Source organism: Homo sapiens, chromosome Y, assembly GCF_000001405.40.
Source record: "Homo sapiens chromosome Y, GRCh38.p14 Primary Assembly".
Lineage (NCBI taxonomy): Eukaryota > Metazoa > Chordata > Mammalia > Primates > Hominidae > Homo > Homo sapiens.
Window position 1 is genome coordinate 56,847,446 of NC_000024.10, and position 18,010 is coordinate 56,865,455.

General features: G+C 40.1%; 1 pseudogene, besides 1 other annotated feature; it reads left to right on the forward strand.

Annotated features, from left to right (window-relative positions):
• Positions 3,001 to 3,500: an enhancer, noted in NCBI's record as "H3K27ac hESC enhancer chrY:58996593-58997092 (GRCh37/hg19 assembly coordinates)". NCBI's record gives its function as "activates a minimal SCP1, AML or CMV promoter by ChIP-STARR-seq in naive and primed H9 embryonic stem cells {active_cell/tissue: H9 hESC(naive and primed)}" and the evidence as "EXISTENCE:reporter gene assay evidence [ECO:0000049][PMID:30033119]".
• Positions 7,798 to 8,925, forward strand: CTBP2P1 (CTBP2 pseudogene 1; annotated as a pseudogene).
• Positions 8,926 to 18,010: the final 9,085 nt, after the last annotated feature.

Consider the following 18,010-nt stretch of genomic DNA (forward strand, 5'->3'; position numbering starts at 1 on the left):
TATACCACTTGTCAAGGCTCTGCCTAAAGGGGCTTTGCTGTGTATCTCTTCACTGATCACCTAGGTCATGAAACTCTTGTCTAGGCTCTGCTTACAGGGGGTATTTTGACATATCTCTGCACTGATCACCTAAGTGATGTAACACTTGAGTAGGCTCTGCCTACACTGGCATTTTGACATACTCTGCCCTGATAAGCAAGGTGATTTAACTCTTGTCTACGCTGTTCCCACATGGGGATTGAGACGTATCTCTGCACTGATCCCGAGGTGATCCAACTCTTTTCTGGGCTCTGCCTACTGGGGACATTGTGACATATCTCTGCACTGATCTCCCAGGTGATGAAACTTTTGTCTAGGCTCTGGCTACACGGCATTGTGACATATCACTGCACTTATCACCCAGGTGATATAACTCTTGTCTAGGCTCTGCCTACAGGGACCTTGTGACATATCTCTGCACTGCTCACCCAGGTGATGTACCATCTGTCAAGGCTCTGCCTACAGAGGCATTGCGATGTATCTCTGCACTGATCACCTAGGTCATGTAACTCTTGTCTAGACTCTGCCTACACTGGCATTGTGACATATCCCTGCACTGATCACCCAGGTTATGTAACTCTTGTCTAGGATCTGCCTACAGGGTGCTTTGTGACATATGCCTGCAATTATCACCCAGGTGATGTACCACTTGTCAAGGCTCTGCCTACAGGAGCATTGTTATGTATCTCTGCACTGATCACCTGGGTCATGTAACTCTTGCCTAGGCTCTGCCTACAGTGGCATTGCGACATATCTCTGCTCTGATCACCCAACTGATTTAACTCTTGTCTAGGATCTGCCTAAAGGGTCTTTGTGACGTAACTCTGCCCTCATCATCCAGGTGATGGGGCTTTTGTCTAGGCTCTGCCTACGGGGGCATTGTGACGTATTTCTGCTCTGATCACCCAGGTGACGGACTCTTGTCTTGCATCTGCCTATGGGGGCATTATGACATATCTCTGCACTGATCACCGAGGTGATGTAACTGTTGTATAAGCTCTGCCTACTTGTGAGTTGTGAGAGATCTCTCCACTGATCGCCCAAGTGATTTAACTATTGTCTTGGCTTTTCCTACACGGGGCTTTGTGACATATCTGTTCACTGATCACCCAGGTGATGTAACTCATCTAAGCTCTGCCTACAGGGGCCTTGTGATATATCTCTGCACTGATCACTCCCGGGGTGGGAATTCTCGTCTAGGCTCTGCCTACAGGGGGCTTTGTGACATATCTCTGCACTGATCACCTAGGTGATGTAACAGTTTTATAAGCTCTGCCTACAGGGAATTTTGACAAATCTCTGCACTGATCACCTAGGTGATGTAACTCTTGTTTAGGCTCTGCCTACAGGGGGCATTTTGATATATCTCTGCACTGATCACCCAGGTGATGCAACTCTTCTCTAGGAACTGCCTAAAGGGGGTATTGTGAAATATCTCTGCACTGATCAACTAGGTGATGTAACTCTTGTCTAGGCTCTACCTACAGAGGCATTTTGATGTATCTCTGAACTGACGAGAAAGGTGATGTAACTCTTGCCTAGGCTTTGCCACAGGGGACTTTGTGACATATCTCTGCACTGATCACCCAGGTGATGTAACTCTTCTCTGGGCTCTGCCTACAGGGGACTTTGTGACATATCTCTGCACTGATCAACTAGGTGATGTAACTCTTGTCCAGGCTCTGCCTATGGGGGCATTGTGACGTATCTCTGCAATGATCAATCCGGAGATGTGACATTTGTCTAAGCTCTGACTACATGGGTCCTGGGACACTTCTCTGCACTGATCACTGAGGTTATTTAAAACTTGTCTAGGCTTTGCCTACAGTGGGATTTTTGACATATCTCTGCACTGATCTCCCAGTTGATGTAACTCTTGTCTAGACTTTGCCTACAGGGGGTATTTTGAGGTATCTCTGCACTGATCACCGAGGTGATGTAACTCATGTCTACGCTCTGCCTACTGGAGACATCGTGACATATCTCTGCATTGATCACCCAGATGTTGTAACTCTTTTCTATGCGTGGCCACAGGAACATAGTGACATATATCTGCGCTGATCACATATGTGATGTAACTCTTGACTATTGTTTGCCTACAGAGTGCGTTGTGACACATCTCCGCACTGATCTCTCAGGTGAGGTAACTCTTGTCTAGTATCTACCTACAGAGGGCATTGTGACATCACTCTGCAATGATCACCCAGGTGATGTAACACTTGTCTAGACTCTGCTTACATGGACATTGTGACTTGTCTGAGCACTGATCACCCAGGTGATGTAAATTTTTTCTAGGCTCTGCTCACAGGGGCATTTTGACATATCTCTGCACTGATCAACGAGATGATGTAACTCTTGTCTGGGCTTTGCCTACAGGAGGCATTGAGACATACCTCTGCACTGATCACCGAGGTGATGCAACTCTTGTCTGGGCTCTGCCTACAGGGACATTGTGACATATCTCTGCTCTGATCACCCAGGTGATGTAACTCTTGTCTGGGCTCTGCCTACAGGGGTTATTGTGACATATCTTTGCACTGATCACTCAGGTGATGGGACTATTTTCTATACTCTGCCTAGAGGTGGATTCGTGACATAGTCTCTGCACTGATAACCCAGGTGATGGAATTCTTGTCTAGGTTCTGTCTATGGGGGCATTGTGTGAAATATCTGCACTGATCACTCAGGTGATGTAACTCTTGTCTAGGCTCTGTCCACAGGGATTTTTGTGACATATCACTGCACTGATCACATAGATGATGTAACTCTTGTCTAGGCTCTGCCTACAGAGGAATTTTGATGTAACACTGCACTGATCACCCAGGTGATGTAACTTTTGTCTAGGCTCTGCCTATAGGGGGCATTGTGACATATCTCTGCACTGATCACTCAGGTGATGTAACTCTTGTCTAGGCTCTGCCTACAGGGGGTATTGTGACATATCTCTGCACTGATCACCTAAGTGATGTAACACTTGTGTAGGCTCTGCCTACAGGAACATTTTGAGATATATCTGCACTGTTAACCGAGGTGATGTAACTCTTGTCTAGGCTGTCCCCACAGGGGGATTGAGACATATCTCTGTACTGATCCCGAGGTGATCCAACTCTTGTCTGGGCTCTGCCTACTGGGGATATTGTGACATATCTCTGCACTGATCTCCCAGGTGATGAAATTTTGTCTAGGTTCTCGCTACATGGCACTGTGACATATCTCTGCCCTGATCACCCGAGTGATGTAACTCTTGTCTAGGATCTGCCTACAGGGTGCTTTTTGATATATCCCTGCAATGGTCACCCAGGTGATATACCACTTGTCAAGGCTCTGCCTACAGGGGCATTGCGATGTATCTCTGCACTGATCACCTAGGTCATGTAACTCTTGTCTAGGCTCTGCCTACAGTGGCATTGTGACATATCTCTGCCCTGATCAACCAGGTGATGTAACACTTGTCTAGGATCTGCCTAAAGGGACTTTGTGACATAACTCTGCACTGATTATCCAGGTGATGTGGCTTTTTTCTAGGCTCTGCCTATGGGGACATTGTGACGTGTTTCTGCCCTGAGCACCCAGGTGATGGACTCTTGTCTTGCGTCTGCCTATGGGGGCTTTGTGACATATCTCTGCACTGATCACCCAGGTGATGTAACTGTTGTATAAGCTCTGCCTACAGGGGAATTGTGAGAGATCTGTCCACTGATCACCCAACTGATGTAACTATTGTCTAGGCTTTGCCTACAGTGGGCTTTGTGACATATCTTTACACGGATCACCCAGGTGATGTAACTCATCTAAGCTCTGCCTACAGGTGCCTATGACATATCTCTGCACTGATCACCTGGGTGATGTAACACTTTTATAATCTCTACCTACAGGGAATTTTGACAAATCTCTGCCCGGATCATCTAGGTGATGTAACTCTTGTCTACCCTCTGCCTACAGGGGGCATTGTGAAATATGTCTGCACTGATCACCCAGGTGAGGCAACTCTTGTCTAGGATTTGCCTACAGTGGGTATTGTGAAATATCTCTGCAATGATCACCTAGCTGATGTAACACTTGTCTACCCTCTGCCTACAGGAGGCATTGTGAAATATCTCTGCACTGATCACACAGGTGATGCAACTCTTGTCTAGGATCTGCCTACAGGGCAGATTAATGTCAACATTAGACAGATCAACAACACAGAAAGTTAACAAGGATACCCAGGAATTGAACTCAGCCATGCACCAAGCGAACCTAATAGACATCTACAGAACTCTCCACCCCAAATCAACAGAATATGCATTCTTTTCAGCACACCACACCTACTCCAAAATTGACCACATAGTTCAAAGTAAAGCACTCCTCAGCAAACGTAAAAGAACAGAAATTACAACAAACTGTCTCTCATAACACAGTGCAATCAAACTAGAACTTAGGATTAAGAAACTCACTGAAAACCACTCAACTCCATGGAAACTGAACAACCTGCTCCTGAATGACTACTGGGTAAATCATGAAATGAAGGCAGAGATAAAGATGTTCTTTGAAACCAATGAGAACAAAGACACAACATACCAGTATCTCTGGGACACATTCAAAGCAGTGTGTAGAGGGAAATTTATACCACTAAATGCCCACAAGAGAAAGCAGGAAAGATCTAAAATTGACACCCTAACATCACAATTAAAAGAGCTAGAAAAGCAAGAGCAAACACATTGAAAAGCTAGCAGAAGGCAAGGAATAACTAAGATCAGAGCAGAACTGAAGGGAATAGAGACATAAAAAACACTTCAAAAAATTAATGAATCCAGAGATTGGTTTTTTTGAAAAGATCAACAAAATTGATAGACTGCTACCAAGACTAACAAAAAAGAAAGAGAGAAGAATCAAATAGATGCAATAAAAAATGACAAAAAGGATATCACCACCGAGCCCACAGAAATACAAACTACCATCAGAAAATACTATAAACACCTCTACACAAATAAACTAGAAAATCTAGAAGAAATGGATAAATTCCTCGACACATACATCCTCCCAAGACAAAACCAGGAAGAAGAAGAATCTCTGAATAGACCAATAACAGGAGCTGAAATTGTGGCAATAATCAATAGCTTACCAACCAAAAAGAGTCCAGGACCAGATGGATTCACAGCCGAATTCTACCAGAGGTACATAGAGAAGGTGGTACCATTCCTTCTGAAATTATTCTAATCAACAGAAAAAAGAGGAAATCCTCCCTAACTCATGAGGCCAGCATCATCCTGATACCAAAGCCTGGCAGAGACACAATCTAAAAAGAGAATTTTAGACCAATATCCTTGATGAACATTGATGCAAAAATCCTCATTAAAAATTCTGGTAAACCCAATCCAGCAGAACATCAAAAAGCTTATCCACCATGATCAAGTGGGCTTCATCCCTGGGATGCAAGGCTGGTTCAACATACACAAATCAATAAACGTAATCCAGCATATAAACAGAACCAATGACAAAAACCACATGATTATCTCAATAGATGCAGAAAAGACCTTTGACGAAATTCAACAACACTTCATGCTAAAAACTCTCAATAAATTAGGTATTGATGTGACCTATCTCAAAATAATAAGAGCTATCTATGACAAACCCACAGCCAATATCATACTAAATGGGAAAAAACTGGAAGCATTCCCTTTGAAAATGGGCACAAGACAGGGTTGCCCTCTCTCACCACTCCTATTCAACATAGTGTTGGAAGTTCTGGCCAGGGCAATTAGGCAGGAGAAGGAAGTAAAGAGTATTCAATTAGGAAAAGAGGAAGTCAAATTGTCCCTGTTTGCAGATGACATGATTGTATATCTAGAAAACCCCACTGTCTCAGCCCAATATCTTCTCAAGCTGATAAGCAACTTCAGCTAAGTCTCAGGATACAAAATCAATGTGCAAAAATCACAAGCATTCTTATACACCAATAACAGACAAACAGAGAGCCAAATCATGAGTGAACTCTCATTCACAATTCCTTCAAAGAGAGTAAAATACCTAGAAATCCAACTTACAAGGGATGTGAAGGACTTCTTCAAGGAGAACTACAAACCACTGCTCAATGAAATACAAGAGGATACAAACAAATGGAATAACATTCCATGCTCATGGGTAGGAAGAACCAATATTGTGAAAATGGCCAAACTGCCCAAGGTAATTTATAGATTCAATGCCATCCCCATCAAGCTACCAATGACTTTCTTCACAGAATTGGAAAAAACTACTTTCAAGTTCATATGGAACCAAAAAATAGCCTTCATCTCCAAGTCAATCCTAAGCCAAAAGAACAAAGCTGGAGGCATCACACTACCTGACTTCAAACTATACTGCAAGGCTACAGTAACCAAAACAGCATGGTGCTGGTACCAAATCAGAGATATAGACCAATGGAACAAAACACAGCCCTCAGAAATAATGCCACATATCTACAACTATCTGATCTTTGACAAACCTGAGAAAAACAAGCAATGGGGAAAGGATTCCCTATTTAATAAATGGTGCTGGGAAAACTGGCTAGCCATATGGAGAAAGCTGAAACTGGATCCCTTCCTTACACCTTTTACAAAAATTAATTCAAGATGGATTAAAGACTTAAATGTTAGACCTAAAACCATAAAAAACACAGAAAAAAAACCTAGGCAATACCATTCAGGACATAGGCTTGGGCAAGGACCTCATGTCTAAGACACCAAAAGCAATGGCAGCAAAAGACAAAATTGACAAATGGGATCTAATTAAACTAAAGAGCTTCTGCACAGCAAAAGAAACTACCATCAGAGTGAACAGGCAACCAACAGAATGGGAGAAAATTTTTGCAACCTACTCATCTAACAAAGGGCAAATATCCAGAATCTATAATGAACTCAAAAAAATTTACAAGAAAAAAACAAACAACCAACACCATCAAAAAGTGGGCCAAGGATATGAACAGACACTTCTCAAAAGACGACATTTATGCAGCCAAAACCCACATGAAAAAATGCTCATCATCACTGGCCATCAGACAATTGCAAATCAAAACCACAGTGAGACACCATCTCACACCATTTACAATGGCGTTCATTAAAAAGTCAGGAAACAACAGGTGCTGGGGAGGATGTAGAGAAATAGGAACACTTTTACACTGTTGGGACTGTAAACTACTTCAACCATTGTGGAAGTCACTGTGGCGATTCCTTAGGGATCTAGAACTAGAAATACCATTTGACCCAGCCATCCCATTACTAGGTATGTACCCAAGGGATTATAAATCATACTGCTATAAAGACACATACACACATATGTTTATTGCTGCACTATTCACAATAGCAAAGACTTGGAACCAACCTATACGTCCAACGACGATAGACTGGATTAAGAAAATGTGGCACAAATACACCATGGAATACTATGTGGCGATAAAAAAGGATGCGTTCCTGTCCTTTGTAGGGACATGGATGAAGATGGAAACCCTCATTCTCAGCAAACTATCGCAAGGACAAAAAAACAAACACTGCATGTTCTCACTCATAGGTGGGAATTGAACAATGAGAAACATGGACACAGGAAGGGGAACATCACACACCGGAGACTGTTGTGGGGTGGGGGGAGAGGGGAGGGATAGCATTAGGAGATATGCCTAATGCTAAATGACGAGTTAATGGGAGCAACACACCAACATGGCACATGTATACATATGTAACAAACCTTCACGTTGTACACATGTACCCTAAAACTTAAAGTATAATAATAATAAAAATAAAAAAAAAGAAACTGTGTGAACAAGGAATTCTTTGTCACATCTGTGCTTTGGTCAGTAATAGACCAGCAAGCAATTCATCCAGTCATCGTGGGCGTGGCTCCAGGAGGACTTCCTGCGTCCATGGAAGGGATCATCCCTGGAGGCATCCCAGTGACTCACAACCTCCCGACAGTGGCACATACTTCCCAAGCGCCCTCTCCCAACCAGCCCACAATCACGGGGACAATCGAGAGCAACCCAACGAGAAATAGTAGTGAATGCCGGAAGGTAATCATTTTGATACACTTGGGAACAAGGACAGTGAAAAATAGATGAACTAAGAGAAAAAGAATCTGACGCTCTTTTTAGCTGATTCTGGACATATGCATTATTGATGTTGCAGTGTTAAAACTACAAGCGTTAGAAAGTTGAAGATGTTGTCTGTTTACGGAAGCTCTGAAAGACTAGGGTGTGATTTATTAACGACCAGCTTCCGTTATTGTGTGTTAAGTTTTTCATCTGTGCGTCAAATCACAAAGAATAAATAGAACTTTTTCCTTTATCAGTCCCTTGGGCACAGCAGGTCAGGAACACCCTGCTCAGAATGTTGCATCAGGACTTCAAACATCAAAATAAAAACCATGAGGAGGAAATCCCCATCTTGTCACTTGAGTCCCTTCAGTCTACAGGGACTGGTTACAGCTTTTTGCTAATAGGAAGATCACATTATTAGAAAATGTGGAGTAAACTATTTGCCTGTGGTAGACACCTGCACGCATAGGATTGAAGACAGTACCGGCTCCTGTACAGAGAAGCGTCTCTCACATCTGAACTGCATGCTGAGTGGGCAAGTTGGTTGTAAGTTCAGAAAAAGCCTCCGATAATGCAAAAAAAAAAAAAACAGTATTAAGTTTCACAAGCTGTTTGTAATCAAAAATATTTTCTCAGTTTCAGATGCTCTGCTATTTTATTGAGTGGAAAGTCTTGCACTAAAAAGACTCAAGAAAAATAATGTTGCTTTTTCTGTCACAAGAAACACTTTTAGTGGTAACTTGTCAGATTGTCTATGAACAAATCCACTTTTTAAGACACTGATAAAGTCTTCTTTTCTTCACGTTGTATTTTATACAAGAACACTTCAGATGTATTGGATGTGACTGATTTTAACAAATCCTATTTGATTTGCATCGATTAGTTACATGTTCTGTTCATAGTCTTTTGTGAATCATTGCCTTTTTGTTTAAAAAATGGCCTATTTTGATCGTTTGGTTAGGTACCTTCCTGTTTTTGTGACAAAAGAAAAACTTTAAAATTGTCACAAACAGAAAAATAATGGCTATCAGAAGTATCCTTTGTTTTAGTGCGAGTTAACGTTACTGTAGTTGTTTATTGTAAAGATGGACATTTAGCATTCAGTGCAGTTTTCAATAAAATGTAATTAGAAAAAAACTACGTAATTAACAAAAACAGAGCATAGACAACAAAATAATATTAGAAGTGATACATAAAGAAAATGAGATATCAATAAAAAGATTTTTAAAAACCAACAAAAACTGTGAATCTGAACAACACAATAACTAGTTGATGATACTGTAGTTATAAATACTGAGTCATGAAAACAAATTATTTAAACAGAATAGAGAAAAAAATATGGGACGTACTGCACACCATCAAGTAGACCATTGTATTTATAAATGGAGTCTTAGAAAAAAAATACAGCAGAAAAGTAATAAAGAGATTATTTTTAAAAAGTAGCTGAGAAATCCCCAGATGACAAGGTAATTAAACAAGAAGATATACTGCCAAACAAAAACCTTCAACTGGAATAATTTCACTTCAGAAATAAAAAAAAAAAAATAAGCCTTTCCAGAATAAATAAAAGTTGAGTGTGTTACTAACCACTAGATCAGTCGTAAAGGAAATGTAAAAGAAAGTCTATCAAGTACAAAAATGAAATGATGCTGCACAGCATCATAACAGCATATGAAAATAGAAAGTGCTATATTAAAGGTAAATATATAAACAGGTATAGAAATCTCTATTGTCATAATGATGGTGCACAAAATTTTCAAAATATTGCTATGGAGTTTAAAAAATGAAGCATAAATCTGCATAAATGTGTGTTCATAGTTACTCAATAAGAAAAGATAATATGTGATATTAATAACACAGTGGGGGTATGAAAAGGTACAACTTTGCATTCAGTTGAAATATGGTTGTTATATATTATCATAACTGTAAGATGATTTATGAAGTCTTTATTTCTCAAGATGATTACCAAAAATACCTGTAGACCTCTGGTCGTCCTCCCACTGCTACATTCCCACTAGCGCCACCACAGTTTACAGATGCCATGGCAATATCAGAAATTTACCCTACATGGTCTTAAAAAAAAAAAGGAGGCATAAATAATCCACCCCTTGTTTAACATATTATCTAGAAATAACCATAAGAATGGGTAACCAGCAGCCCTCGGGCTGCTCTGTCTATAGAGTAGCCATTCTTTTATTCTTCTACTTTCTTAATAAACTTGCTATCACTTTACTCTATGGACTCGCCCTGAATTCTTTCTTGCACCAGATCCAATAACCCTCTCTTGGAGTCTAGATCAGGACACCTTTCCTATAACAGAAGGATGGGAAACAACTGGAACCTTCATCAACAGCTGGCAGATTGTAAACTGATACAGCCACTGCAAAATTTTTAGCAGTATCTCCTAAAACTGTACACATGCTCTATAAAGCACTTGCACTCCCAGACAGAGATCAAATTAAAGTACACAGGTGTGCACCAAAAGGTAAGGACAAGAAAGTTCAGGGCCGGGAACAGTGGCTCATGCCTGCAATTCCAGCACTTTGGGAGGCCGAGGCAGGCAGATCACCTGAGGTCAGGAGTTCGAGACCAGCCCGACCAACATGGTAAAACCCCGTCTCTACTAAAAAAAAATTAGCCAGGCGTGGTGGTGGGCACCTGTAATCCCAGCTTCTTGGGAGGCCGAGGCAGGGAGAATTGCTTGAACCCAGGAGGTGGAGGTTGCAGTGAGCTGAGATTGTGCCATTGCACTCCAGCCTGGGTGACAAGAGCAAGACTCCATCTCCAAAAAGAAAGAAAGAAAGAAAGAAAGAAAGAAAGAAAGAAAGAAAGAAAGAAAGAAAGAAAGGAAAGAAAAGAAAGAAAAGAAAGAAAGAAAAGAAAGAAAGAAAGAAAGAAAAGAAAGAAAGAAGGAAAGAAGGAAAGAAGGAAAGAAGGAAAGAAGGAAGGAAAGAAAGAAAGAAAGAAAGAAAGAAAGAAAGAAAGAAAGAAAGAAAGAAAGAAAGAAAGAAAGTTAGTTAATAATGGCATTACTCATAATGGACCCAAGCTTGGAAGAACCTGAATGTCAGCCAACAGCAGAACAGATAAACATATTGTGCAATATTAGTAAAGCTGAATGCACACAACAATAAACAAACCACTGCCATGTGCAACACCATGGATAGAGCTCACAAGCCTAAAGCTGAGAAAAGCAGCCAAAAGAAAAGATCCCATTTATAAAGCGAATAATAGGAAAACTAATCTATAGTGTAAAAAGTCAGAATAGGAGATACTTTTTGCTTGAGCCCAGTAGATTGAGCTGGGTGTGGCATGTGTGCCTCCTGTCCCAGCTACTCAGGAGGTTAAGGTGGGAGGATCGCTTGAGCCAGGGAGATTGAGGCTGCAGTGAGCCATGATCATGCCACTGCACTCCAGCTGGGGTGACAGAGCAAGACTCTGTCTCAAAAGACAAGATGGTCATTTTAGGCCAGGCGCGGTGGCTCATGCCTGTAATCCCAGCACTTTGGGAGGCCAAGGCAGGCAGATCACCCTGTCTTGGGAGGAGGTAAGAGCAGCAACTAAAAGAAAACAGAAGAGAGACTTCTGGGTTGCTGGTCATATCCATTTCTTAGGTGTTAACTATGTGAAAATTTTGAGTTGTACGTTCATGATCTCCTTACCTGTATGCCTCTCATACCACAATAAAAAAAATTAAGTACGAGACTAACATAATAGAGCTTGAAATGTGCAGAAATTGAGGGAGCTCGCCCAAGGAAATCATTACTAAACAGATACTAAAAGATTTCAGACAGGAGGAAAATGATCCCAAGTGGAAGATCTGGGATATAAGAAGAAATGAAGAGCAGGAAAAAGACAGGTGAATATATGGATAAAACTAAACAAATGTGAAATGTATAAAACAATAGAAGTAATGTCCCATGAAATATAAAAAGAAAAATGATAAAATATATCAAAACAACTTTGATGGGTCACAAGATAATTATGCTGAATAAAAAAACTCAATCTCAAAATATTAGACATTGTATGGATTCATTTACATGTGTTCTTGAAATAAAGTTACAGAGATGAAAAACCCATTAGTGGTTGCCAGGGGTCAGGGAGTGAGGAACGTGTTTGTGACTATAAAATGGGTAGCACAAGGGATCCATCCTTCTGATGGAACTCTTCTATATCTTGACGATGGTGATGGTGATTAGGTATCTAATCTATGTACACGATAAAATTTCATAGCACTAAATACACAAAAAAACCTAAAAGTGCACATAAAACTGGTGAAATCTGAACAAGGTAGTTATGCAAGACGTTACCATTGGGAGAAACTGAGTGAAGACTATATTGGATTTCTTTATATTATTTCTTAAAAGCACCTGTGAATCTGCAATTATGTCAAAACAAAAAGTTGAAAATATACTGTTGTAGCATAACTCAAGAGGAGTTTAATGCAATGAAAGTATTCTTAAGTTATCCTATCACCCAGGAGGAGGATAAATTTTCAACTTTCATAACTTAAATATGCACATTTAAATTAGCATGACAGTTACTAAAAGAATATAAACAAAGACTAACTTAAAATGACTAGAGAAGAAAAAAATCCCACCAATTGAAAAGAAGGCAAGAAAGGAAAAAAGAAACATAAGTAGGATAAATAGAAAGTGACAAAATGACACAAACACACATGCATGTACATACACACCACTCACCATCTATACAGAATCCAAGTATGTCAGAATACAAATACATGCAAATGGACTAAGTAATCCAATTAAAGATGGATAAATTGTTAAAATCCCATTCCATGCTATTTATAAGTCATATTTAAAATACAAAGATATAGAATGATTTTAAAAGGTATTAAAATATGTATCAGAGGAGCTGGACTTGGCGGCACATGCCTGTAATCCCAGTGACTCAGGAAGCAGAGGTGAGAGGATCACTTGAGACCAAGAGCTCAAGACCAGCCTGGGCAATATAGCCAAATTCTATCTCTAAAGAAATAAAAACAATTATTTGGCAGTGGTGGCACACATCACTCTAAAGACTGAGGTAGGAGGATCATTTGAGCCCAGGAGTTTAAGGCAGCAGAGAGCCACAGTCACGCCTGTGAACAGCCCCTGCACTATAGCCTTGGCAGCACAGTGGAAAAAAAAATACACACACACACACACACACACGTGAAAGATACACAGTGCAAAGTTTAACCAAAGTTACCATAGCTATATCATACATAATGTTGAAAGCATACATAAATGAAGGAAAACATTTCATTTTGATAAAAGTTCAAATTAAAAAAAAGATGTATATTTTTTGAATCATATGCACCCAAGTACAGCCTCAAAAAGCAAAAGTTGACAGATGAGGAGACAGACAAATCCATGCTTCTAGTAGGATATTTAATATATCTCTCAGTAAATAAAGTATAAAAATAATTAGGGAGGATGAAGATTTAAAATTATGAAAAAATAGACTAAATGCACACATACAGAACATGAGATTTAACTGCAGAAATAGACTTCCCTTCAAGAAACTGTGGACACGTTCAAAAATTAACCATATAGACGAGTGTTAAAACAAGTAAAAAATTTCAAAGAAAGTGGAGAGATCATAATTTCTGGTAACAATTTTAGAAACTTTCTAAAAGTATACTTTTAAATAGCCCATAGCTTGAAGATAAAATAAGGCAAATTCATCATCAATTCTACATATTTAAAACTGTAGGATATAATTAAATCCATTCATAAGGGGAAAATGATAGTCTTTTTTTTTTTTTTTTTTGAGATGGGGTCTCACTCTGTCACCCCGGCTAGAGTGCAGTAGCACAATCTTGGCTTACTACCCTCCACCTCCTGGGCTCAAGTGAGCCTCCCACCTCAGCCTCCTGAGTAGCTGGGACCACAGGCTCACACCACTACACCTGGCTAATTTTTTGTGTGTTTGGTAGAGATAAAGTTTCACCATGTTGTCCAGGCTGGGGAAATTTATAGTCTTAAATGAGAACATTAGAAAAGGAACTTGGGAAAAACATCAACAGACCGGGCACAGTGGCTCAAGCATGTAATCCCAGCACTTTGGGAGGCCGAGGCAGGTGGATCATGAGGTCAAGTGATCGAGACAATCCTGCCCAACATGGTAAAACCCCATCTCTACTAAAAATACAAAAATTAGCTGGGTGTGGTGGCACACACCTGTAGTCCCAGCTACTCGGGAGGCTGAGGCAGGAGAATTGCTTGAGCCGAGATTGTGCCACTGCACTCCAGCCTGGTGAAAGAGTGAGACTACGTCTCAAAAAAAAAAAAAAAAAAAAAAAAAACCTGAGCATCAGTCAACAAATCAGACAAAGAACAAGTTAAATTCAAAGAAAGAAAAAGGAAAAACATAACAAACAAATGAAATACAAAAGAAACACACAATAGAATCAGCCAAGCTAAAACTTGTGGTTCTTTTGGTTTTCAGATAGGGTCTCATTCTGTTGCCCAGGCTGGAGTGTAGTGGCTTAATCACAGCTTAGTACAGCCTCCCCCTTACAGGCTCAAGCGATCTTCCCACCTTTTCCTCTCAAAGTGCTGGGATTACAGGTATGAGCCACCATGCCCTGCTAAAATCTGGTTCTTTAAAAATACATTATAAAATTCACAGACCTTTAGCAAGATTTGTCAAGAAAAAGCAGTCAAACAACAATCTTGCACAGGAGGACTGTACTACAGATAGAAAGACTCTGAAAGGAAGTCATAACTTGCAGGCCAAGAACGATGGCTCACACCTGTAATCCCAGCACTTTGGGAGACTGAAGTGGGAGGAATGCTCAAGTTCAGGAGTTTGAGACCAGGCTGGGCAACATGGCAAAACCCCGTCTCTACCAAAAATACAAAAATTAGCTGGGCATGGTGGCACGTGCCTGTGGTCCCAGCTACTTGGGAGGCTGAAGAGAGATGGTGGCTTGAGCCTGGGAGGTGGAGGCTGCACTGAGCCATTATTGAACCACTGTACTCCAGCCTGGGCAACAGAGTGAGACCCTGTCTCAAATAAACAATTTCATAATGTAAAATTATGAATACCTTTATGCCAACAGACTTTAAAGCATAGATGAAAAATCTTTTTTTTTTTTTTAGACAACGTCTCATTCTGTCACCCAGGCTGGAGTGCAGTGGCACAATCACAGCTCACTGCAGTCTCGACCTTCCAGGCTCAAATGATCCTCCCACCTCAGCATCCCAAGTAGCTCACACTACAGGCACCCGCCACCACACCAAGCTAATTTTTATTTTTTTTGTAGAGATGGAGTCTCACTATATTGCCCAGGCTGGTCTTGAACTACTGTAGTCAAGTGGTCCTCCCACCTGAGCCTCCCAAAGTGCTGGGATTACAAGCATAAGCCACCATACTTGGTGAGATATGAATTTCTAGGGAAAAAAATCAAAATTCACTCCAAAAGTAGAAAAAAAACTTACATAGATTAAATATATTGAATCAGTCATGAAAATCTTCCCATAAAGAAATTTGTAGGCCCAAGTGCCTTCACCAAAAAGTTCCATGAAACATACAAGAGAAACAAACCAACCAAACAAACAAAAAAAAACTCTTCCACTAACACAAACAGAGAATACAGAAAGAAGACTCCCCAGTTCATTTTACAAGGTTAAAATAAAAATAACCTTGATATCAAAACCCAATAAGGCAAGGGCAAGAAAAAATATTTGCAGGCCATCATTATTCAACGTGGATCAGAAATTATTTTTAAGATGTACTAGCCAGGTGTGGTGGTCATACCTATAATCCTAGTAGTTTGGGAGGCCCGAGTGAGAGGATGGCCTGAGCTCAGGAGTTTGAGACCAGCCTGGGCAACAAGGCAAAATCCCGTCTTTATAAAAAATACAAAAATTAGCTGGGCATGGCAGCACACCTATAGACCCAGCTATTCGGGAGGCTGAGGTGGGAGGATCACTTGAGCCTAGCAGGTTGAGAATGCAGTGATCCCTGATCATGCCACTGTGCTCCAGCCTGGGCAACAGAGTGAGACCCTGTCTCAAAACAACAACAGAAAGATATACTGACCACCTGTGATGCTGGCCAGGATGGCGTATGCATGCTATGGCCTGTCATTTCCACTGATCACAATTTGAAACTCTGGACAAAATATAAATAGCAATGACCTAAGAACTCTGAAAAGTAACCAGCAGACAGGTTGGGAAACGTCAAAACCTGAAGAATTATCTGGATGGCGGTGGTGAGAGATCATATTCTGAGTCATAAAACAAACCCTGAAGTTAAACAATTAAAATTCAGTGAATTATTTTCTCTGATGACAGAATTAAACTAGGAATCTAGAACATTTCTAGAACATTCCCAAATATGAGAAGTTAAATGGTGTACTTCTAAATGGCCCATAGGTCAAAGAGAGTATCTTAAGACAAATTGGAAAACAGTTTGAACTTAATAAATATGACATCATCTTATCAAAATATGTGCTTACAGGGCAATTTATAGCACTAAATTATGAGAAATGAAGCATCAAATCAATAATGTAAGCATTTACTTTAAGTAAAAAAAGAACCAAATAAACTCAAATCAGGCATAAGAAAAACAGACTAAATCAGTAATATTTAAACAAAAACAGTAAAGGAAAAAAATTCAACGAAATCCAAAGTTGGTTCTTTGCAGGGGTGGTGGGAGGTGGAAATCAATCAAATGAGGAAGCCTCTAGCAGACTGACAAAGGAAGAAGAGAAAACACAAATTGCCAATACCAGAAATGAAAGGAATATTATTACAAATCCTGTAGACACTAGAAGGCTATAATGGATACTACAAAAACAAAACAAACAACTATATGCTTCTAAATTCTACAAATTAGGTGAAATAGATCAATTCCTTGAAAGACAGACTACCAAAACTCAAGAAGAAACAGACAGCTTGAATACCCCTGTATTTATTAAAGAAACAGAAGTGGCACAGCACTTTGGAAGACAATTTGGCAGGTTCTGATAAAGTCAAACGTACACGGACCATGTGACTCGGCAATCCTACCCTTAGGCATTTGCACAAGTGAAATGAAAACCTATGCTCAGACAAAAAGCACTTTGTGAATTCCAATCCACTTATAATTTACCAAAAAGTGAAAATAGTCCATATTCCTCCAATGACAAACCAATAAGCAAACCATGTAGTATTTATACAATGGATTACTATTTGGCAATAAAAAGGAATAACTGTTGATGCAGTACATGAAAGTAGCCAGACTCAAAAGGCTACATCCTGAACGATTCCATTTGTATAAAATTCTGAAAAAAAAGCAATGCTAGAGGAACACAGATCAGTGATTGCCAGAAGTTTACAATGGAAGGTTTTACTATAAAGGGCAAGGTAATTTTTGGAGTGATCATATAATTTTGTAATCTACCAAAAACAAACATAATAAATGGGCAGATAAGTAAAGTTCACGGATTGGAAAGTTCAATATTGCAAAGGTCTCCCAAAAATGACCTATCAATTTAATCCCAGTGGAAATTCCAATCAGTTTTGTGAAGGCTGCTAAGTCAACTCTAAAATGGCCAAGAATAGACAAGATCACCGGAGAGGAAACAGGGAGGTGGACACAAATATCTTCTGATTGATGAGTGAAATCATTAGAAGGCCAGCAAAAATACAAGTAAGCCAGAATTTCTAAAGCACCACAAAAGAACACTAGTTAGTAGTGCATCTAGGTATCTCTCAAATTTGTTGTAAACATAGGCCTTTAAAAAAACATTAGAAACTGATATTTAAAGAGATATAAACTCATATTAAGCTTTTAAAAAATTCTAAGCAAGGGCCTCACCTAATTTCATAAAAGGTTGCATAGAAGCAACCATTGCTGCAAACGATGTGCTGCCCTGAGATGTGAGGATCCCAGTGGTCCCTCTGGGTCAACAGCAGCTACCGCGGCTGAGCC